Source organism: Homo sapiens, chromosome 2, assembly GCF_000001405.40.
Source record: "Homo sapiens chromosome 2, GRCh38.p14 Primary Assembly".
Taxonomy (NCBI): Eukaryota; Metazoa; Chordata; class Mammalia; order Primates; family Hominidae; genus Homo; species Homo sapiens.
The window spans coordinates 39,167,771-39,191,566 of NC_000002.12; the positions used below are offsets into that span (position 1 = coordinate 39,167,771).

Here is a 23,796-nt window from a genome sequence, read left to right on the forward strand (position 1 = left end):
AATATTTTGCTAGTTTTTCCATTTGTAAGAATTTCCAACCCAAGGCACACACAAAAAAAGTTTGCCATGCCAGCTGTTCAGATATTCCAACCAATAGGAAATTAAATAACAAGCTGTGGAATTTACATATGAAGATGACAGTTTTTTTCATTTAAATACGAAGTATTAGAAAATTAATGAATAGCTGAGTTGAATAGAAATTAGGAGACAGAAATATTTCTTTTATTAAAATAAGCTAAAGAACATAGTCAAGTTATATATACAAATATAAAGTCACCAAAATATTTAATCTCATATGTGGGTTTTCAAAGTATCTTAAGCTAAATTTTTAAAAACCATAATATTATGTATATTTAACATAATAAAACTAAAATTGCTTTTAGTGAATTGTTTCTAGTAGTTTAAATTACGATTAGGCTAATTATCAATGTTAACTAACATATAGCTACGACTTCAAGTGATTTGAAATATACCTGCTTCTACACAAATATGTGCTAAAATAATAAATGGACACACAGAATCTTCAATATGACAATATTTAGACATATGGTCAATGAGTAGTGTTCATAACAGAAAGAAAAATTTTAACTTTAAAAATACAAATCATTTATATGCCTGTTGAGTAGGATTACCAATTCTCAGCTTAAGCAAATTTTGGGGTAAATTAAAAGTTGACTGAGCCAGGCCAGGCGCGGTGGCTTATGCCTGTAATCCCAGCACTTTGGGAGGCTGAGGCGGGTGGATCACCCAAGGTCAGGAGTTCAAGACCAGCCTGGTCAACATGGTGAAACCCCATCTATATTAAAAATACAAAATTAGCTGGGTGTGGTGGCTCATATCTGTAATCTCAGCTACTTAGTAGGCTGAGGCAGGAGAATCACTTGAACCCAGGAGGCGGAGGTTGCAGTGAGCTGAGATAGCGCCATTGAAACTCCATCTAAAAAAAAAAAAAGAGAGAGCCTGAGTCCTTGTTTTTTTTTTGTTTTTTTGTTTGTTTGTTTTTTTGAGACACAGTCTCACTCTGTTGCCAGGCTGGAGTGCAGTGGCGCAATCTCAGCTCACTGCAACCTCTGTCTCCTGGGTTCAAGCGATTCTCCTGCCTCAGCCTCCTGAGTAGCTGGGACTACAGGCACATGCCACCACGCCCAGCTAATTTTTGTATTTTTAGTAAAGACGGGGTTTCACCATGTTGGCCAGGATGGTCTGGATCTGTTGACCTCGTGATCCGCCTGCCTTGCCCTCCCAAAGTGCTGAGATTACAGGCGTGAGCCACTGTGCCAGGCTTGAGTCCTTGCTTTTGAAACAAAAATGTACACAATTCAGATATATCTGTAAAATTTAATTATCATTTACTCAAACTACTAAAAGTGTTGCTGAAGTTAAAACTTGATTAAATGTTCTTCCTTGATGATATGCATCATATCCAATTCTTTGATGAAAACATCAAATAATGATTACATATTACTCTGCATTTTAAAAACACACCTATTTTATTTACACTCATTAAAATCTAGTGATAATTAGCTTCAAAACCCATTTTCATTTGGAAAATTTAACCTGTGTTAGATGGTTGCCTGTAAACTACTATTGACATGATGGAGCTAGTAGGGTGTAGTCGTGTGTGTGTTTGCGTGAGTGTGAAAGCAAGCAAGGAAGACAGAGATGAGAGAGAGGAAGGTAACTCCTGGCTCCTGGCTAGATCATAAACACTACAATTTTATCTTGGTGTTGTTAATGAAAAACACTCTCTAGAAAGCCTCTTGTAGTGGGAGATATGACCAGGATACAAACACTGTGTGCCATAGAGAATCACAGAACTTTAGAGTTGAAAGGGAGACTTAGAAATGATCTAGCTTCACTACTCTCTTATTTTACAAATGAGAAAACAGCAAAGCTACAGAAGGCACAGAAAAGTTAAATGTTGTGTCAAGGATACACAGAGAGTTGCAGTTTAGGCCTAGAACCTAGCTGTCCAAACTTCCAGACCAAATGATTTTTCTATTTATTTTCTCTAATGACCACTCTTATTATTTTATTTTATTTTTTGAGACAGGGTCTCACTCTGTCACCCAGGCTGGAGTGCAGTGGCATGATCTCAGCTCACTGCAACCTCCGCCTCCTGGCTCAAGTAAACCCGTCACCCAGGTTGAAGTGCAGTGGCACAATTATGGCTCACTTCAGCCTTGACCTCCTGGGCTCAAGGAATCCTCCCACTTCAGCCTCCCAAGTACAGGCCCACGCCACCACTCCTGGCTAACTTTTGTATTTTTTGTGGTAGAGACAGAGTTTTGACATGTTGCCCAGGCTAGTCTCAAACTCCTGGGCTCAAGCAATTCACCTGCCTCGGCCTCCCAAAGTGCTAAGATTACAGGCGTGCACCACCATGCCTGGTCCTAACTACTACTCTTAAACACCTTTAGTCTTCTCCTAAAACAAGAATGAAGTTGTTAATTTTCGTATAAAACAAACAACACTCCAGCCTGGAGACTGAGTGAGACCCTGTCTCCAAAAAAAAAAAAAAAAAAGAAAGAAAAGAAAAGAAAAGAAAAGAAAAGAAAAGATAAAACAAACAAACACATATGCAGAACATTAACTTGTGAGTGGCATTTTATCTTTATGTCCTAAAAATCTGTATCTTTGTGATGAAGCTAACACTGACTCCCCAGTTTTTAGTTTTTTGTTGTTGTTGTTGTTGTTGTTTTTGAGACAGAGTCTTGCTCTTGTCACCCAGGCTAGAATGCAAAGGCACGATCTTGGCTCACTGCGACCTCCACCTCCCGGATTCAAGCGATTCTCTTGCCTCAGCCTCCCGAGTAGCTGGGATTACAGGCGCCCGCCACCATGCCTGGCTAATTTTTGCATTTTTAGGAGAGACGGGGTTTCGCCATGTTGGCCAGGCTGGTCTCAAACTCCTGACCTCATGATCTGCCCACCTCAGCCTCCCAAAGTGCTGGGATTACAGATGTGAGTCACCACACCTGGTCCCCCAGTTTTTTAAGGATATTAATGTTTGCAAAATTTTAAGATCATTCCTCTTCTGGTGGTAGTTTTTAATTAAAAAAAAATTTTTTTTTGAGAATTCTGTGACCAGGATTAGAAATCAATGGTGGTGACAAATGACTAAGAAAGTGCTAACTTTTTGGAAAATTGTAATTTTATGGCAAGTAAGCTAAAGGAGCACAAAACATCTTCAGGTCAGGCTCATTCCTGTAATCTCAGCACTTTGGGAGGCCAAGGTGGGGTGGATCACTTGAGGTGAGGAGTTCGAGACCAGCCTGGCCAACAGGATGAAACCCCATCTCTACTAAAAACACAAAGATTAGCTGGGCGTGGTGGCACATGCCTGTAATCCCAGCTATTCGGGAGGCTGAGGCAGGAGGATCGCTTGAACATGTGAGGTGGAGGCTGCAGTTAGCTGAGATTATGCCACTGCACTCTCGTCTGGGCGACAGAGAGAGACCGTCTCAAAAAAAAAAAAAAAGATTTTCAAAATAACCTTAATATTGTGGTTGGGAAATCTGCAAGTGCAATGAAGAACTGTGATACACCTAATTTAGAAGGAAAAAAAACAAACTACTTTCTGTTTCAACTCTTCATCCCCCAAGAACTTAGTTTTTACCCTTTACTCAATCATCTCCCTAATCCCAAGGATTCAAAAGCTTCTTGAATACAACTTTTCAGCAATTCAGTCTAGTTAAAGTAATCTTCAAAAAGTGATCTCCTAAAAGGGCTTTGTGGTTGGGGCAAGTTGGAACAATTACATTCAAATATCACCAGGACTGAAATAGAGATTAAAGACAGAGCCCAAGCACATAGGCCACCAGGGCTGAGAGAGGTCTAACGAAATGTCCTTTATGTTGGAGCTCTAAGAATAGGCAAAGTCTGCATTTTGAATGGCCTGAAAATACTGTGAAAAGCAAACACACTAAAAAACAAACAAACAAAAAACTGTTTGGAGACTCTAAGATACGTGTGTGTGGAAAGTCTGAGGAAACCAAGGTGGGAAGAGGCCACGAAGAGGCGGAGCACAGAGGAGTGTTCAGGCGGCGTCACTCACCATGATGGCGCAGTATTTGGACAGCATCAGGAAGGAACTACATAAACAAAAGGCTTGAAAGTTGACATAAGTGAGACAGAACCCAGGTGATCCAGAAACTGCACAAGAGCCTAACAGAAACTCATAATTACGGGATCAAGTAGGATTCTATGAAGAGTCTGGGACAAGACTATTTGCTAAAGATAAAAAATGCATTACACAGGCTGGGCATGGTGGTTCATGATTGTAATGCCAGCACTTTGGGAGGCCGAGGCAGGCGGATCACGAGGTCAGGGGTTCAAAACCAGCCTGGCCAACATGGTGAAACCCCATCTCTACTAAAAATACAAAAAAAATTAGCTGGGCACAGTGGCACACACCTGTAATCCCAGCTACTGGGGAGGCTGAGGCAGGAGAATCATTTGACCCCGGGAGGCAGAGGTTGCAGTGAGCCAAGATTGCGCCATTGCATTCCAGCCTGGGCATGACAGGGTGAGACTCTGTCCCCGCTCCGAAAAAAAAAAAAGAAAAAGAAAAAGAAAAAAAGGCACTGCACAATTTGGGAACCAGATGCTGAAGAGCAACTGTTGTTCATGGGCTGAAGGGTGTGAGAGAATTTGTGTAGTACAGAGGTGAGAGATATGTATTTGAAACAGGAAGGAGTTACAGCTTGAGACTGGGGACCCTGGGCAACGCAGGCAGCAGCAATGCTATGCTGTGGCCTGGGCCACCCAGGGACAATTAAACAGGCATATGGCATCAGAAGCTGATTTTTCTTTTCTTTCTTTTTTTTGAGACGGAGTCTTGCTCTGTTGCCTAGGCTGGAGTGCAGTGGTATGATCTCAGCTCACTACAATCTCCGCCTCCTGAGTTCAAGTGTTTCTCCTGCCTCAGCCTCCTGAGTAGCTGGGATTACAGGCGCCCACCATCATGCCAGGCTAATTTTTGTATTTTGAGTAGAGATGGGGTTTTACCATGTTGGCCAGACCGGTCTCGAACTCCTGACCTCAGGTGATCCGCCTGCCTTGGCCTCCCAAAGTGCTGGGATTACAGGCATGAGCCACTGCACCTGGCCTGTTTATTTTTCTTCATGGTAATATGACTATATTAGAGCATTTTTCTAAGCATTAGATGCTCTCTCCTGTCCCCTCCCCAGTGACACCTAAGTGATGGATTTGTCTGAGGAAAAAAAAGAGAAATGCTAGTTTGAATTAATTTTTTAATGCAAGCAAAAATAAGGAAAGACAGTCATCCCACCATCCCTGCCAAAAACTTCGTTGTTATTTGAAACATAATTACAAGCAAAATGGGCAATGGAATGCTGTCTTATTTTCTATATGTGTATGTGTATATCATATTTTATGTGTGTATATATGGATATGCATAAATATATTATCTATATAGATACATAATATAGAGAGATATATATTTAAGATAGCTAGAGCAGTATGAGTGGTTTGGTAATAAGAAGGCTTAAATGAAAAACATTATGAAAGCTAAAAATAAATTGTTCAGCAAAGTTGCCTTTTATCTTTTTTCTCATTTTCTTTGCACCCGTGGTATCGTCCTGTTAAAAATGCAGGAAACTGGCAGGGTGTGGTGGGTCACACCTGTAATCCCAGCACTTTGGAAGGGCCAGGCAGGGAGATTGCTTGAGCCCAGGAGTTTGAGATCAGCCTGGGCAATATACCAAGACCTTTTCTCTACAAAAAATTAGCTGGAGCCGGGCGCGGTGGCTCACGCCTGTAATCCCAGCACTTTGGGAGGCCGAGATGGGCGGATCACGAGGTCAGAAGATCGAGACTATCCTGGCTAACACGGTGAAACCCTGTCTCTACTAAAAATACAAAACAATTAGTCGGGCGTGGTGGTGGGCGCCTGTAGTCCCAGCTACTAGGGAGGCTGAGGCAGGAGAATGGCGTGAACCCGGGAGGCGGAGCAGCTTGCAGTGAGCCGAGATTGTGCCACTGCACTCCAGCCTGGGCGACAGAGTGAGACTCCATCTCAAAAAAAAAAAAAAAAAAAAATTAGCTGGGCATGGTGGCATGTCCCTGTAGTCCCAATTACTTGAGAGACTGAGGCAGGAGGATTGCTTGAGCCCAGGAGGTCGAGGGTGCAGTGAGCCACGATTGCGCCACTCCAGCCTTGGTGACAGAGTCAGACCCTGTCTCAAAAACAAAAAAAGCAAGAAATATACAAATCTGAAAAGGCATATTCCTGATAACAAGATGAAAATAAGAAGGCCTTACTTAACAGGTTATATTTACACTAAGAATGTAGGCCAGATCAGATCAGCTCACTTAAAAAGTCCTTCCTTGCTGGGCGTGTTGGCGCACTCCCGTAATCCCAGCACTTTGGGAGGCCGAGGTGGGAGGATCACTTGAGCTCATGAGTTAGAGACCAGCCTGGGCAACATAACGAGACCGTATCTCTACAAAAAAAGTTAAAAATTAGCCAGGTGTGGTGGCACCCGCTGTAGTCCCAGCTACAGGCTGAGATGGGTGGATCACTTTAGCTGGGGAGGTGGAGGTTGCAGTGAGCTGTGATTGCACCACTGCACTCCAGCCTGGGTGACAGAGCAAGACCCTGTCTCAAAAAAAAAAAAACCCTTCCCGTGAACAAAAAACTATTGCTTAGATGTCATAATTCCTTATTAAATGGATGCTTCTACATAACTGAATGAGATTCTCTGGGAGTTTATGTGTTTCTAAGTGCGGAAGACTTTTAGACACGAACATAGGATATTATCATGTTTCTTCAACAACAATATATCCTTAACTCTTGGTGCTGGACATAGAAAATTTCTGGAATAAAGTGTATTTGCAAAATTTGACAACATTCAGTTAAGTATGCCAGACACGGGAGCGGAAATGAGTTAATAAAATACTCTTTAATTTTTCCTGATAGGAATATCACTGATTGCGCCTTTTTGCCTAACAGTGATAGCCCTATGCTATTATTTTATATGAGTTCCTTGTTAGCTAACTAAAAGTACTTTTAAATATTCTGCATCATTTTTGATGCCCAGGATAAAAGGCACCTAATATGGTGCTGCAAAATTTATAATTTTAAGTATATATTTACAAATACATGTTTATACATATGTGTATATACGTATGTATGTCAAGTTTAGTTGGGAAAAAATATATATATGTATATACGTATGTATGTCAAGTTTGGTTGGGAAAATATCCCAAAGTAAATTCAGCTCAGTTATTGAGGGGTTTGCTTTGCTTTGTTGTTTTGTAAGAGATATGAAATAATATTAACTGAAAGATAATCTTCCTGCTCTTGTGTTTACAAACCAACCTGATTAAGATGCCCTCACTAGTTTTGGGCTGTACAATTTCATAGAGGCCATGGATGCAAATGTTTGCAAGAGAGTACTATCCATGAGCTATTCAGACAACACACCCAGGAGGATCGGCTTGGGTCATGAGATGACTTAGACAGGAGGAGAAAAGGATAAGGAATGGTGATATAGCAAAGGACAGCAGTCAATTATCCGAGGGCGTTACTGATGAGGATGGCAATTCCTTGTCATTGGTCCACTGTTTGCTATGTATTGGAATTTGTATGTAATTTTCTCTAGCTAGCTTTAAAAATAGAATCATCAATGCCTCATGAGACAGACAAAGGAGAGCCTGCCATGGAATCTAGAGATAAACCTGAACGACCTTTCAAGGTTCCCTTTCTACACCAATATAAAAACACAGAATAAGATACCAGCATTACTCAACAGACCTGGTTACAATAAGTATGAATTACAATGCAGGAACATATGTCATTTCTTACACAAACAGTGAGGCAGGCTATTTGATATTGCTTTAAGAAATTATGTGGTCAGCTGAAGCAAGATGACACATGTAAATCTTTTTCATAAATCAAAGTATAAGCTCACAAATTCTCCATATAGATAGCCTCGGGAGGGGCTGCTCTGATGAAATTGAAAATGTCTCTTCCATATGTGCAGTTTTAGGCTTTATAACATTTAAAGAAAATATTCTAAAAGATAAAGTTGGCATGTAAAACATGGGGAAAGGAATCAGCAATGATCAGAGCAAAACAATTCTAGAAGGCATCTTAATTTTCATATGGCTCATTTGCATTTGAAACACTGAGAATTCCTATCTCACTTGTACAAAATGTGTACATATTAAATTACTTTGCACTTGAAAGAACATTTTCCTAAATGTTTGGAAGGTGATCAAATTTTAACTGGAGGACTTGTTTTCTTCCATCAGGTGTGGGGGAGATGTGGCTTCCTGGTATGAGAGGCAACAGTTGATTCTAATAGCAGAACAAGACAACAATAAGAAAGCAAATTGAAAACAATTCCTATTTGTACAGTTTGATTGAAAGATGATAAGACAAGCAGATACTTATGGTACAAAGATGTCAAAAGACATCAATTTTAAAATTAAGTAGGGTTACCTTTCCAAAAATTGAGATTCTCTGATACCTAAAAATTAGGTTCTACTACTTATTCTAGGATACCCATGGATATACTACTATTTATTTCAGTACACTTAATCTGAGTATCTAGTCAATACTTAAAAGGTAGATGCCCATCAGCTACTATACAATAATTCCAGGAGACTACATTGTACCCACCTCAAAAAAATTATTTGTTTTTTCGACACCATTTCACTCTGTTTCAGCCTGTTGCCCAGGCTGGAGTGCAATGGTGCAATCTCGGCTCACTGCAACCTCTGCCTCCAGATTCAAGCGATTCTTGTGCCTCAGCCTCCCAAGTAGCTGAGATTACAGGTGTGAGCCACCATGCCCAGCTAATTTTTGTATTTTTGATAAAGACAGAGTTTCATCATGTTGGCCAGGCTGGTCTTGAACTCCTGACCTCAGGTGATCCACCTGCCTCAGCCTTCCAAAATGCTGGGATTACAGGTGTGGGCCACCCACCTGGCCTCAAATTTTGAATAGCTAGAATATTGGCAGAATAGCAAAGGCTTAAAACCTCTTTACTATCAAATTTAAACATTATTTAGTCTTAAGGAAACCGCAATGAATGAAAAGACTTTTTTCTGTAACATTTATTTTCTGACATGGTAAAATATCTAGGATTCAGGTGTGTCTTCTGAAGGAACACCAGAACTTGAAAGGCACCCCTGTCTTTCTCTTGGCCTGGCTCCCTGGGCACCTCACTTGAAGGAGAGAGCTGTTTAGGACCGGCCTCGTGTAGGTGCTACAGGGGGACCCACCATGCAGAGGTGGATAGAATGCAGTTTACAGAGGATGGAGAACATGGGCTGATCTCTGTAAATGAGATTCTCTAGGTGCATGCTGCCCTTTGTGTTTCTTTCCTTTTGCTGCCTCTGGGCCTTTTGGAAGGCCTTGTTCACAGTCCCTGATCTGTATCAGCTGGGTTGCAGGCATTGAAGGAAGGGTAGCACAGCTGTAAACCCAAGCAGAGAGCTGGAGGCTGTGAAGGGAGAGCAGCACCCAACCCCGTCGAGGCGAGGCAAGGCAAGGTCTGTGACAGATTCCCAGGTAGACAGTGATTAGGGGGACCAGGAGTCCAGCTGGGGCAGCTGACACTGTGGACCCTCCCAGGCCAGTGTTGGGGGGAATCCAGTGAGTTTTTTTTTTTTTTTTTTGAGATGGAGTCTTGCTCTTGTCGCCCAGGCTGGAGTGCAGTGGCACGATCTCGGCTCACTGCAACCTCCGCCTCCAGGGTTTAAGCGATTCTCCTGCCTCAGCCCCCCAAGTAGCTGGGATTACAGGCGCCCACCACTACACCTGGCTAATTTTTGTATTTTTAGTAGAGATGGGGTTTTGCCATGTTGGCCAGGCTGGTCTTAAACTCCTGACCGAGTGATCCACCCGCCTCGGCCTCCCAAAGTGCTGGGATGTTTTTATTTATTTATTTTTATTATTATTTTTGAGATGAAGTCTCACTCTGTTGCCCAGGCTGCAGTGCAGTGACACAATCTCAGCTCACTGCAACTCTGCCTCCCGGGTTCATGCAAGTCTCCTGCCTCAGCCTCCCAAGGAGCTGGGATTACAGGCGCCCGCCACCACACCCGGCTAATTTTTGTATTTTTAGAAGAGATGGGGTTTTGCCATGTTGGCCAGGCTGGTGTCAAACTCCTGACCTCAAGTGATCTGCCCACCTTGGCCTCCCAAAGTGCTGGGATTACAGGTGTGAGCCACCGCGCCAGCTGAGATGTTTTTAACAGGAGAGTGTCCTTTTACACACAATTCACACTGTCTTTCAGATTGCTGCCTCAGCGATCTTTAATTTTTTTTGTTGTTATTTAAGTATAAGCTGCATTGGGCTTGATTTGCAAACATTTAATAGCAAAAGGTAAAATGGCCCATGTAATCAAAATATGGATACCTAGAGATTTTGGATACACAGAAATGATTTAACATTTCATCTTCTGGATTAGTTTGATTTTTCTCTCCCAACAAACTTCTATTTTAACTATTAAAAGGTTGGGAAAAGACAACACTTTCTTCCTTTACGGAAAACATGCTAATGAGAAGACGAATGACTGAAAATTAGATTGAAGATGAAAGATTAAGCAAACGCAAACTGTGAAAATTGCTAGCCTCTGATGAATTGGAAATTACCAACTCAGTTTATTATTAGGCAATGTTCGTCTACTTATTTATTTTAATAATATTAGGGACCTTCTCTGTGTCAGATACTGTTTTAGGTGCCGGGTTTACAAGGTGAGAAAAAGCCCTGAACCAAAACAAACCTATTTCCATGGAGTTTACGATTTAACTTCAAAGTTTTCTGAAAGCAAGTGAAGGACAGTCACCTGATAAACTGCAGAATTAATGTTTGTCATAACAGTCACCATACTGTTCTGCAATATTGGCCCATTGGGTAGAATTTGGTTCCCAGATGTCTGGGTTTCATTCCTTTGTACCTGGCAGATCTTGGTTTTGAGAAAAAGCCTAGGAAAGGCAGACTTAGGTGCCTGCTGTGGGTGAAAAGATGGAAGAGTCAAGTTACCGTTATTGCACATCTGGAGGCTACAGAAAGGCACTTGGATTCCTTTGCAATGCTGGCAAAACTCAGTCCTGTTGGAATCAGCATTTTATTATATGAAGTTGTTATATTATGGGTATACGATCTTGTGGGTGGGATATCCAATCAGAGCAGCCAAAGAGTTGCGTAACGATTTGATTCAGGTGTGTTTGGAATAAGATTTTTGCAATAATCTTGATATTTTCATAGTTCTATGGTTTTATTACATCAATTACCAATATTTATTAAGCTAGACAAATACAACTACACCAGTACAAATGAAAGGTCTTGGTGTCCACCTTGTCTCACTTTGAAAGGCAGACAAACAAAAACAAAAAAGGAATTATTTTTATAGCACTTTAACTTTTGAGCGGAAGTACCTGTTGGCGTCTTCTGTTTCTTCCTTCATTACGTGCTTTTCTTTTAATTTGGGCCTCTTGAAAAGAATCAAAGTAGGAGCTCTCCAGGAGTTGGGAACAGGTTAATCTGTCATCTGGATTCATCTTCAGACACCCCTTTGGAGGAAGAGAATAGCAAAGAAGATGTTAAGGGAGGGGCTCATTTTGTTACCGTGCCCACAAACTGAATAACTTGCTAGGATAAATATGAGTTTAGAAAATCTTCCAGTTTGTGTATTATCAAGTAGTTGGAGCTTGCTAATAGCTAGGATTGCTCTTCTTTTTCCTACTTCAAAGTCTTTTGAGGGCAGAATGAATGGATGGTCAGTGTCTCTCTGAAAGAGGCCACCTGTAGATCTGGTGTTCCCACCAATGACATTTTAAAATCACTGCTGAAAGCAAATCGTTTATAGCAGTCTGCAGAGTATAGTCCCTGGACTAAAAACATCAGCGTCGCAGGAACTTCCTAGAAATGCGAAGTCTTGGGTCCTATACCCCGCCTGCCAAAGGGAATCGAGGCACTGGAGGTGGGGCCCGGCAGTTTGTGTTTAAGAAGCTCTCTGGGTGATTCCGATGCCCATATGCTCAGGTTTGAGAACCACTGGGTTAAGGAGATGACTGAGGAAGTGAGAACCTCAGTCATGAGAATGAACCTAAAACAAGGAAAAATTGACTATATATTCATATAAAAATAACTACAGGCAAAACAGAAAAGGTGACATTATGACCCTTCTATATTTGAGACCATTAGAAGCCTCTAGGTCGGCTTCTGAGAGTGGGGAGGAGTATCACAGCAGAGGGGTCAGTGGGGGTCCTGACACAAAGAGGTTTTCTCTGAGAAACACTGATACTCCAGCCAGACAGTGGGACTTTGCCCATCAATAAACACAGATTATGATCCATAAAGAGCAGCTTTAAGCCAGACCTGGTGGCTCATGCCTGTAATCCCAGCACTTTGGGAGTCCAGAGGTCTAGACCAGCCTGGGTAACATAGTGAGACCGCATCTCTCCTTTATTTACATTTTTAAAAGGAGCAGTTTTACAATACACAGGCACAGACGACCTGACAATTATTGCCTTCCATCATAAGAGAGAAATAAGGCTCACCACCAGCACAAACATTGTTTTGAGGCATTCTCAAGCCCAGACAATTGCGTTGCCTGAGGCTGCCCCAGCCGGGCACTGCCCTGTGGTGTCTGTTCCTCCCTGACCCCAGCTGACCTCAGATTTCTGAGATCCCTGAAGCTGCCTGCCCCTAAGCAGTGTCACCTGGCCCTTGGCGAGGGATCTGATTAGTCCTGTTCTTCAAGAAACAATCCTGCTCAGTAAAACTAGACTTACTGGTCCCTCCTTGTCAACTGCCTGGTCCAAGCAGATGACCCCTAATTAATGACCCATGCCATATATCAACTCCAGCTGCTGCTGGAAAAACATTCTCCTCAAATCCTAGTACTGTTAGGGCTACAATCAGGAGAGAAAGACTTTTTTTTTTTTTTTTTTTTTTGAGACAAAGTCTCGTTCTGTCACCCAGGCTGGAATGCAGTAGCGCCACCTCGGCTCACTGCAAACTCCACCTCCCAGGTTTGAGCGATTCTCATGCCTCAGCCTCCCAAATAGCTGGAATTACAGGCATGCACCACCATGCTGAGTACATTTTTGTATTTTTAGTAGAGACAGGTTCACCATGTTGGCCAGGCGGGTCTCGAACTCCTGACCTCAAGTGATCTGCCCACCTCGGCCTCCCAGTGCTGGGACTACAGGCGTGAGCCACTGCACCTGGCCAGAAATACTATTTTGAATACAAACTGTGATAGTCTCTACTTCTTTATCACTCTATTCTGGCTTTTGCTTCCACTGTTCCATTAAAGTGGCTCTTGTTATTAATACCTCTGACCTCTACTTCCATATCCTTCAACCCATTATGTATTTTGAATTCTCTCTCATCTCAATAGTATTAGACACTACTGACCAAGCCCTCCTTGAAACTTTGTTTCTCTTTGGCTTCTCTAATCTCTCACTTTCCTTGCTCCTCCCTCCTGGCCACTCCTTTTCAAACCAGCCTTTGCTAGTTTATCTTCTTCTCTACTATGTTCTCCACTATGGTTGGATAAAATTCCTCAAGGCCAAATCCTAGCCACCCCTTTTTTTCTCATCTGTTCTTGGTTTCTAGGTGATCTCTTTGCTGCCTATGGCTTCAATTATCAAAGTTTACCAGAGATTTCCACATCTACAATTCCATTCCAGACCTCCCCTGTGAACTCCAGACCTGCAGGTGCAACTGCTTACTTAACATCTGCCTCAAGGTCACTGTTATGGGTTGAGTTGTATCGCCGCAAAAATATGTATGTTGAAGTTCTAACTCCCAGGACCTCAGAATGTTACCTTATTTGGAAATAAGTTCTTTGCAGATGTAATTAGTGAAGACAAGGTCATAATGGCATGGAGTACACCCCCAACCCAATTACAGTTGGTTTCCTTATAAGAAGAGGGAAGATGGTGTAGACAGACACACAGAGTGAATGCCATGCTATGATGGAGGTAGAAATTGGAGTTACATTGTCACAAGTGAAAGAATGCCTGGGGCTACAAGAAGCTGGAAGAGGCAAGGAAAGAACCTTGCCAAGAGTTTTCAGAGAAAGCCCAGACCTGCCAATACCTGAAAAAGCAATACAGCCACTGTACCCTTGCCACCTCTTCTACTTTATTCCCCATATATCAATGATAATTAAGTCCTATCGGTTTTCCTTTCAAATATATCTTGAATTTATTCACGTTGATTTTATTTTATTTTTTTTTAGAGATGAGGTTTCACTGTCACCCAGGCTACAGTGCAGTGGCATAATCATGGCTCACTGCGGCCTTCAGCTCCTGGGCTCAAGCAATCCTCCCGCCTTAGCCTCCCAAGTAGCTGGGACTAAAGGCAAATGCCACCATGCCTGAATAATTTTTATTTATTTTTTATGTTTTGTAGAGACAGGGTCTGACTTTGTTGTCCAGGCTGGTCTCAAATGCCTGGGCTCGAGTGATCCTCCTGCCTTGGACTCCTAAAGTGCTAAGATTACAGGCATGAGCCACCATGCCCAGCCTCATTCATGTTTTTATATGGGCTTTCAAAACTATTGAAATCTAGTCCATCACTAAATACCTATGAATTTTCATTTTAAAGAACATTTTTAGATTCTTAGAAGACACTGCTAATGCTGAGCTCTCTCCATGGAGTCTGAGCTGGAACAATGTCCTGCTTAATTCTGAAGCATTGAGATGAGCTGAGTAGAATTGAGGCTTCTGAGTCCTTGCCTGCCTGGATTAATAACTTTCTGTATATCAAGAAGCTGAAGAATTAATCAGAGGTGTTCCCTGTAGATGTGCTCCTAACCCAGAAAACATCTGGAAGATGAGAAATGAGAAATCAAAATGGTAAAGTCCAAGTCAGGATCCTTTTCTTAAATCCAAACTTCAAATTTCACAGAAAACGCTCTGATAAAATTTCTAATAGTCTATAGTCTTCTTCTTGATGGACCAGCTGAAGCTGATATAGTGATAGGATCATCATGACTATGGAAATAAATGAGTAATAAATAAGAAAGATTGTGCTCATGGTCTCATTTTAAACCTAATGAAGAGAACACAGAAGACCTGCCATAGATTGGCTACTGCATGCCACCACTCTCCTTGACTCTGCCATTGCCAAATACGCCATCCACCTGAGCAGTCCCTGCATAGGTTATGATTCGGTCCCATGGGATAAACACCAGTTATGGTAGCCAGTACTTATTTGCCATTAAAGATGTCTTGGGCTGGGCACAGTGGCTTACGCCTGTAATCTCAGCACTTTGGGAGGCCTAGGTGGGCGGATCATGAGGTCAGGAGATGGAGACCATCCTGGCCAACATGATGAAACCCTGTCTCTACTAAAAATACAAAAATTAGTCTGGTGTGGTGGCGTGTGCCTGTAGTCCCAGTTACTTGGGAGGCTGAGGCAGGAGAACCACTCGAACCTGGTTGGCGGAGGTTACAGTGAGCGGAGAACTCCAGCCTGGGCGACAGAGCAAGACTCTGTCTCAAAAAAAAAAAAATGTCTCAATTGCAAAGAATTAAAGTCTTCTCTCATCTAATATGGGGCAGGAATCTATAAGATAGGGTGTGGTCCATGAAACAGCACAATCCTTGATGCACTGAGAGGATTCTTGGGTCTTAGGTTGATACTTATGGGTCTAAATAAAATAGTCGAGTAACAAACCTAGATTCATCTAAAACCTTAGGCAGCCAACCAGGGCTCTTCATCTTTGGAGATGAGGACAGGGAACTTGTCCTATATCTTGCAGTTTTCATGCCCCAGAGTTGCTTTCCAGGGAACCACAGGTTGTCTCTGGCTTCCATCTGAGAATTCGTTGGGCTTGCAGTGCTTGATGTCTCCCTTCTCCCTTGCAGGTTTTGCTAAATTGCAAGTGGGTCAGAACAACCTGTCAAGAACAAGGTCAGGGAACTGGGCTTCTAGGACAGGACCTGCTGAGTGCTGGGTGAAAGCAGATCTGGGCAGTAAGATAGGGTAGATGGCAGCTGAGGTCAGGTGGAGCAATGGTATGGGGAGTCTGAGAGCACAGGGGTATCAGGCTCTGACTCTCAGGAGGACTTAGGTTGAAGCACTCCAGCACTCTGGATAGCACCATGGCAGTGACCAGCACTCGCACAAAGGCTGGTCTACAAAAGTTGACTCTAGGTCATCCAAATGGCCCCACCGTCTAGATCAGATGAGTCTCAAACTGAGCTGTTTATCATAATCACCTAAGGGCATGTTTAAAGATACACATGCCAAGGTCCCACTCATGAAAATTCCCCTTCTGAATCTGAGGCTAGATACTGGAATCTGTATTTTTCAAAAGTTCCCAGGCCATTCTGATGAATAGCCACATTTGGAAGACACTACTGTAGACAGAACTTAATTGATTGTCAAAGGTAGATACCCTCTCTGGTATCCTCATACCCTTTGTCCAATGAGCTTTTGGTATACACAATGTATGACAGGGTCACACACCTTCTAGTGTGGCGCCATGAATGGCAGACTAGGCATAGGTAAGTTTCTTCTGCTTTTTATTTGAATCTGTCCTTGGTTTGGCGTCTCTCTTGGGCCTAGTGCAGGAGCTAGGTCTGGTGTCTGCATGGCTCTGATTTTGCCTCATCTACTAATGTTAATAGATATGTTAGAACAATTACTGCTTAAACCAATGATGTCCCTTTAACTGGAATTGTTTTACAGTTCTTTATCATTTTCAATGACTACATCCTATTTTGGCATTATTTAATCCACTGTCCACCCCTCCTCAAATTACCAGCTTCAGTCATTACAATTTATAGCTAATAAGAGTTATAATTGATTCTTAAGTACCTTCATGAAGTTCAGAGCCACAGGATGAACATCTGAGAACTTTTCCTCAAGAGTTTCCTGAAAAACAAGGTTAAAACATTCAATATTACATAAGAACAAAGTAATATGTGTGTGTATATATGTGCGTATGTATGTGTGTGTGTGTGTGTGTGTGTGTATTTAGAGATACTGTCTCCCTCTATCTCCCAGGCTGCAGTGCAGTGGCATGATCATAGCTTACTTTAACCTTGAACTCCTGGGCTCAAGAGATTTTTCCACCTCAGCCTCCTAAGTATCTAGGACTACAGGTGGGTGCCACCACACACAGCTAATTTTTTATTTTTCTGTAGAGATGGGGTCTTGCTATGTTGCATGAGCTGGTCTCAAACTTCTGGCCTCAAGTGATTCTTCTGCCTCAGTCTCCCAAAGTGCAGGGATTATAGGGGTGAGCCAACTCACCTGGCCTATATTTTGAATATATTAGTAATAACAACACTTTAAAGAAAGACTCTCTAGTAGGTTCAATAATTCATTTTAAATATATATATATACACACACATATATATACATATATATGTGTATATATATACACATATGTATATATATACATATGTGTATATACATATATATACACATACGTATATATACATATATACACATACGTATATATACATATATACACATATGTATATATACATATATATACACATATGTATATATACATATATATACACATATGTATATATACATATATATACACATATGTATATATATACACATATGTATATATACATATATATATACATATGTATATATACATGTATATATACATATGTGTATATATACATATATATATACATATGTATATATACATGTATATATACATATGTGTATATATATATATATATATTTGAGACAGAGTCTCTGTCGCCCAGGCTGGAGTGCAGTGGCAGCACGAACAAGGCTCACAGCAAGCTCCGCCTCCCGGGTTGATGCCATTCTCCTGCCTCAGTCTCCCGAGTAGCTGGGACTACAGGCGCCCACCACACGCCCGGCTAATTTTTTGTACTTTTAGTACAGACGGGGTTTCACCATGTTCGCTAGGATGGTCTCGATCTCCCGACCTAGTGATCCGCCTGCCTCGGCCTCCCAAAGTGCTGGGATTACAGGTGTGAGCCACCGCGCCTGGCTTTAAATATATTTTTTAAATCACTCTTTTATATAATTGTACACTGTATGTAAAGATCTGAAATACATAAAACTGAAGTTAATTTTCTTAATTTCACAATGTCTTGCAGTTGATGCTGGGTAAATGTGGGTCCCAAATGCTCCCATCTGAAATCCTACAACAGTGCTATAAAATCTGTGCCTGATCTACTTCTAAGGATGCTTTTGAGTATTCATGAAAATACATTGGACTACATGCATAAGAGCACTACAGAAATCAAAAGAATGAAAAACACAACATTCAGAATGATGAGGAAAGAAGGGGATGGAGATGCCTGAAAGATAATGGTGGGAAACTTAAGACACTTAAGTTTGTTGTAGTTTATTCTTTAAACACACGTTATATAAATATTCCTTTGTAACCTTTAACCTTGCAGTTCAACCTTTAACCTTATATTACATTTGTTAAAGGCTTTAACAAAGACAATAAAAAAGAAAACCAGTATATAAATCAAGATATTATATGAAATAATTGATTTAAAATGAACAGGGTGTCTAGAGATGGTTGGGACCATTTGGACCTCAGGTTATTTGGACAGTTCACATCTATCATAGATCATGATTTGCCTTCTCAGACTTTGCCCCATCCCTGCGTGGCTCTGACTCCAGCATAGTTGGAGTGTGGACACATGCTTTTCTTGACAGTTTTTTCTTTTACAGGCAGATTCTGGACCATATGGAGCTTTAAAGAGCATAGCCTGAACTTAGGTAACACACACAGGAAGTCAATGTCTACAGAGAGCAAGAGAGAGAGTCAAATAGTCATTGATATGTTTTCAAATAAAGGCAAAGACCATTGCAAGAGTAGAGAGATGATCCCTGTGATTTGGAGTTTAATGAGTACAATGGGGATCATTTTGTAAAACAATCTCCCATGTAAAAATATATGTTGTGAAAAAAGCTTTTGATTGATTTGAGCTTTGTTTTACAAGCCGAAAAAATTTTAAATGCTTTTTTTTTCAAAATAAAGAAGACTACTATAAGTAGTCTTTATGAGAATATAATTATTTAAGGGAAAATTCTCCTAAGGCTTTGACCAATGGATTAAAATTATGTAGTATCTAAGATACTAAATATATTTTCACTTTAAATTTAACATTAATTTTTGAATAGATAAGACAAGTAAACATTTAAAGCATTTTTCCTGGCTCATTGTAATGTAGTTTTTATATAGTTTCTTCAATATGTGTGATATGGTTTGGCTCTGTGTCCCCACCCAAATCTCATCTCAAATTATAACCCCATGTGTGGAGAGAGGGAGGTGATTGGATCATGACGGGGGTTCCTCCATGCTGTTCTCATGATAGTAAGGGAGTTCTTATGAGATCTGATGGTTTTAAAAGTAGCAGTTTTCCCTTGTGCCCTCACCCCTCTCTCCTGCCGCCTTGTGAAGAAGGTGCCTGCTTCCCCTCCTGCCATGATTGTAAGTTTCCTGAGGCCTCCCCAGCCATGCTGGACTGTGAGTCAATTAAATCTCTTTCCTTTATAAATTACCCAGTCTCGGGGAAGTTCTTTACAGCAGTGTGAAAATAGAATAATACACTGTGCTAATATGTCACAAGGAAAACAGAAGCCAAAAACACAAATATTAAAAAAGAAACAGGCCAGGCATGGTGGCTCATATGAGTAATTCCAGCATTGGGGAGGCTGAGGTGGGAGGATCACTTGAGTCTCGGAGGTTGAGGCTGCAGTGAGCCATGACCTTGCCACTGCACTCCAGCCTTGGTGACAGAGTGAGACATCATCTCAAAATAAATAAATAAATAACAACTACCTCTTTAAAGAAAGCCGCAACACAAGTAATAAAATATTCAAAACAGAGCAGCTTACCATGTCTTCTGGCTCAGGTATACTGATGCCATGGAAAAACCCGTTACTTTTAAAGATTGATTGATGTCTTGGGATTAATTTTCCTGTAAAATACAAACCACATAATTCATCATAAATTTGGCAAAGAATAATCAAGTGTTTAAATGGTTAATGCCTGAAGGCCAGGCATGGTGGCTCACACCTGTAATTCCAGCACTTTGAGAGGCTACGGCAGGTGGATCACTTGACGTCAAGAGTTCGAGACCAGCCTGGTCAACATGGCGAAACCCCGTCTCTACTAAAAATACAAAAATTAGCCAAGCGTGGTGGTCCATGCCTGTAATCCCAGCTACTCAGGAGGCTGAGGCAGGAGAATCGCTTGAACCTGGGAGGCAGAGCTTGCAGTGAGCTGAGATCATGCCACTGCACTCCAGCCTGGGCGACAGAGCAAGACTCCATCTCAAAAACAAAACAAAACAAACAAACAAACAAAAAACAAAAAACAGGGTTAACGCCTGAAGTGCAGGTGTGAAAGAAATATTGTGCCTGATTGTTCCCTCCAGAGATGAGAGGAATGGGATTCTGCAGACGCATGCCTTCTCAGGTAAGGCCAGTTCTCCCAAACCAGTCTCTTTGTCACATGTGGTCACCATTCAGCCTCCATCAAAAGGTGAAGGCTGGGTGCGGTGGCTCACGCCTGTAATCCCAGCACTTTGGGAGGCAGAGGGAGGTGGATCACGAAGTCAAGAAATCGAGACCATCCTGGCCAACATGGTGAAACCCCGTCTCTACTAAAAATACAAAAAATTAGCTGAGTGTGGTGGTGCGCACCTATAGTCCCAGCTACTTAGGAGGCTGAGGCAGGAGAATCGCTTGAATTTGGGAGGCGGAGGTTGCAGTGAGCCAAGATCACACCACTGCACTCCAGCCTGGCAACAGAGTGACAGTCCGTCTCAAAAAAAAAAAAAAAAAAAAAAAAAAAAAAGACAAGGTGAGAGAATGGTACTATGGTCTTTACACACATTATCTCATTTAATCTCATAAATGAGATTTTATGAGACTTCATCTCATAATCTCACAACAATAGTTGTTATTATTTTTTCAGACAGGGTCTCTCTCTGTTGCCAAAACTGGAGTGCAGTGGCATGATCATGGCTCACTTCAGCCTCGATCTCCCAGTCTCAAGCAATCCTTCCACCTTAGCCTCCCGAGTAGCTGGAACTACAAGCATGCGCCATCATGTCCAGCTAATTTTTAAAAATTTTTTGCAGATATGGGGTCTGCCTATGTTGCCCAGCCTGGAGTAGTTGCTATTTTAAATCCCCATTGTGCCAATGAGGAAAATGAGGCTTAGAGAAATTTAATAACTTGTCCAAGATCACACAGTAACTTAACAGATCCAGGATTTAAACTCAGGTATGTAATGTAAATTTCCAGAATCTTTTTAGGGAATGAATCAGACAAACAAAGTGTGGCCTGCAGTGGTAATCTACCCCACATTTTTCATGCTGCAGAATTTTCCATAATATGTTGGAACTGACCAGGGAACTGTCCAGCAGCCATGCTGCCAGGAGAGCCTGTGGGAAGAAATTAACAAATTCTCATTTTGTGTGTAGAGGTGTCACTTTCTTTGCATCCATGCTGTTGGCATGAAGCTGTGGCTCACTTTTCGGGTTATGCTGACACATAATGAAAGCTCACGAAAGAAACCCTTGCAGTCTCATTCCTATTCTGCACTTACCTGGCTATATGACTTCAGGCCAATCATGGAAGCTCCCTAAGCCTCTGTTTCCTCGTTTATAACATAGGCACAATTAAAAACATTATAACTTCCTTAACAGGTTTTTCTTAAGACTGAAAAAGATGATGCGTATGAAAGTAATTTGTAAATTCTTAAGTACTATACAAAGAAGATGTGTTAACATTATTCTAAACTTCAGCAGCCACCCCTAATCAGGAAGTAAAATCAGACTCTTAGGATCTCGGGCAGGAGTGTGGGCCAAATCTGGCCTACTGCCTGTTTCTGTACAGCTTGTGACCTCAGAATTGGTTTTACATTTTTAAGCAGATTTTTAAAAGTCAAAAAAGATTTTTTGATATTGTTGCACGTGAAAACTACAATAAATTAAAATTTCTGTGTCCATAAATAAAGTTCTATTGGAACACAGCTATGCTCATTTGTTGACATGCTGCGTATTGCTGCTTTTGCACTACAATAGCAGAGTTGGGGAACTGCAACAGAGGCTGTACAGCCTGCATAACCTAAAATATTTACCATATAGCTTTTTATAGAAACAAATTTGCTGATTCCTGCTCTAGAGTAAAGGGGGGAACCTCTTTTACAGTGGACAGAAATTGCATTTGATCAAATATCTTAGATTAAGCTCTAGGCAGCTGACTCATATCCTTATCCCTATCTTAGTCTGATATGGAAAGTAAATGTATAGTTTATTCCATGGCTAATTGACTTTTCCTGCAAAGGGATCTGAGAGCTCCCTGAGAGGAGTTACGGTTCTGCATGTTTAGAAAAGGATTGGGCTTTGGCTACAACCCAGAACTGAGAACAACCATCCTGAGTGACACTTTGAAGAAGCAATAAAACTCTTGTTTTTTATTTTTATTTATTTATTTTTTATTATAGTAACATATGAATGCTATAACAATTCAGCAACTCTGTTGCCATAAAATGCAATTCATACCTAGTGTTCTGATTATCAGATAAAGTTGGTCCACATCTGATTTTCCAGGCCACAGTGGCTGGCCTGTCAGGAGCTCTGCAAAAACACAACCAATAGCCCATATATCGACTGAAGAACCATACTGAGTATCTCCCACAAGAAGTTCAGGAGCTCGGTACCATCTCGTAGCTACATAATCGGTGTAGGCATCTCCTGGAACTGCAAATGCATCAATCAGATCAGGTAAGTCAATTCTCCCAACATGTGAACTGCTCCCAAGAACACATCAGGCATTCAGGCTGCAATAACCATCAGAGGCCATGATACTCTTAAGGGTTAATGCATTGAGGCACTAATTGAGGAAACAGTTACTGTGCATTGAGATAGTAAATTTGACATTCAAGAGCACTTTAGATAATTAACATCTCTTACTACTCCAAACTGGGGTGGCGGGTGGTGTGATAGGGATGGGGGGAATGAGAATTTCTGGAGTGTGACTTTAAGTCTAAACCGCATTGTTGGTTTCCACTTTACCATCAGCATGGTGGTTGTTGTGCACTGAATTGTGTCCCCTCCAAAGATAGGTTGAAGTCCTAATTCTTGCTACCTGTGAATGTGATCTTATTTGGAAATAAGGTTTTTGCAGATGTAATTAATTAGTCAAGATGAGGTCATATTAGATTAGGGTGGACTCTAAATCCAATGACTTGAATCCTTACAGGGATGCAGAGACATGGAGAATGCCAAGCGATACTGGAGGCAGAGATTGGAGTGATGCAGTTGCAAGCACAGGAATGCCAACTTTTCCCACATCCATCAGAAGCTGGGCTAGAGGCCGGGCATGGTGGCTCATGCCTCTCATCCCAGCACTTTGGGAAGCCAAGGCAAGCAGATCATTAGAGGTCAGGAGTTTGAGACCAGCCTGGGCAACATGGCAAAACCCTGTCTCTACTAAAAATACGAAAATTAGCCAGGCATGGTGGCACATGCTTGTCGTCCTAGCTACTTGAGAAGCTGAGGCAGGAGAATCACTTGAACCTGTGGAGGCTGCAGTGAGCCGTGATCATGCCACTGCACTCCAGCCTGGGCGACAGAGTAAGACTCTAACTCACACATATACAAAAAAAGAAGCTAGGATAGAGACATGGAAGGGGCCTCTCCTAGAGCCTTTAGAGGGAATGTGGCCCTGCTGAAACCTTGATGGCAGATGTCTGGCCTCCAGAATTGTGAGAAAATAGATTTCTGTTGTTTTCAGCCACTCAGATTGTGGTAATGTATCATGG

The 23,796-nt window shown here is 41.6% G+C and overlaps 1 protein-coding gene across 12 annotated transcripts in view, besides 1 other annotated feature; it reads right to left on the reverse strand.

The window, feature by feature from the left end:
• Positions 1–200: 200 nt before the first annotated feature.
• Positions 201–23,796, reverse strand: part of CDKL4 (cyclin dependent kinase like 4) — a 79,150-nt gene continuing 55,554 nt past the window's right edge. For 3 of the 12 annotated variants that reach the window (XM_047444141.1, NM_001397900.1, XM_017003982.2), the window contains 5 exons: positions 22,535–22,732; positions 19,857–19,939; positions 16,821–16,877; positions 11,417–11,551; positions 7,876–8,326 (listed from right to left, as the gene is read on the reverse strand). In XM_047444141.1, coding sequence (XP_047300097.1) covers positions 8,225–8,326; positions 11,417–11,551; positions 16,821–16,877; positions 19,857–19,939; positions 22,535–22,732 — 575 coding nt within the window. In that variant the 3' untranslated portion in view covers positions 7,876–8,224. Of the gene's footprint in view, positions 938–7,875; positions 8,327–10,616; positions 11,552–16,820; positions 16,878–19,856; positions 19,940–21,576; positions 21,690–22,534; positions 22,733–23,796 lie in introns of those variants that run through there. The other 9 variants (XR_001738736.2, XR_007073748.1, NR_144521.2 and 6 more) reach the window with 8 other exon arrangements.
• Positions 13,638–13,932: an enhancer, noted in NCBI's record as "tiled region #10874; HepG2 Activating DNase matched - State 8:EnhW, and K562 Activating non-DNase unmatched - State 23:Low". NCBI's record gives its function as "activates a minimal TATA promoter and a strong SV40 promoter by Sharpr-MPRA in HepG2 and K562 cells {active_cell/tissue: HepG2 | K562}" and the evidence as "EXISTENCE:reporter gene assay evidence [ECO:0000049][PMID:27701403]".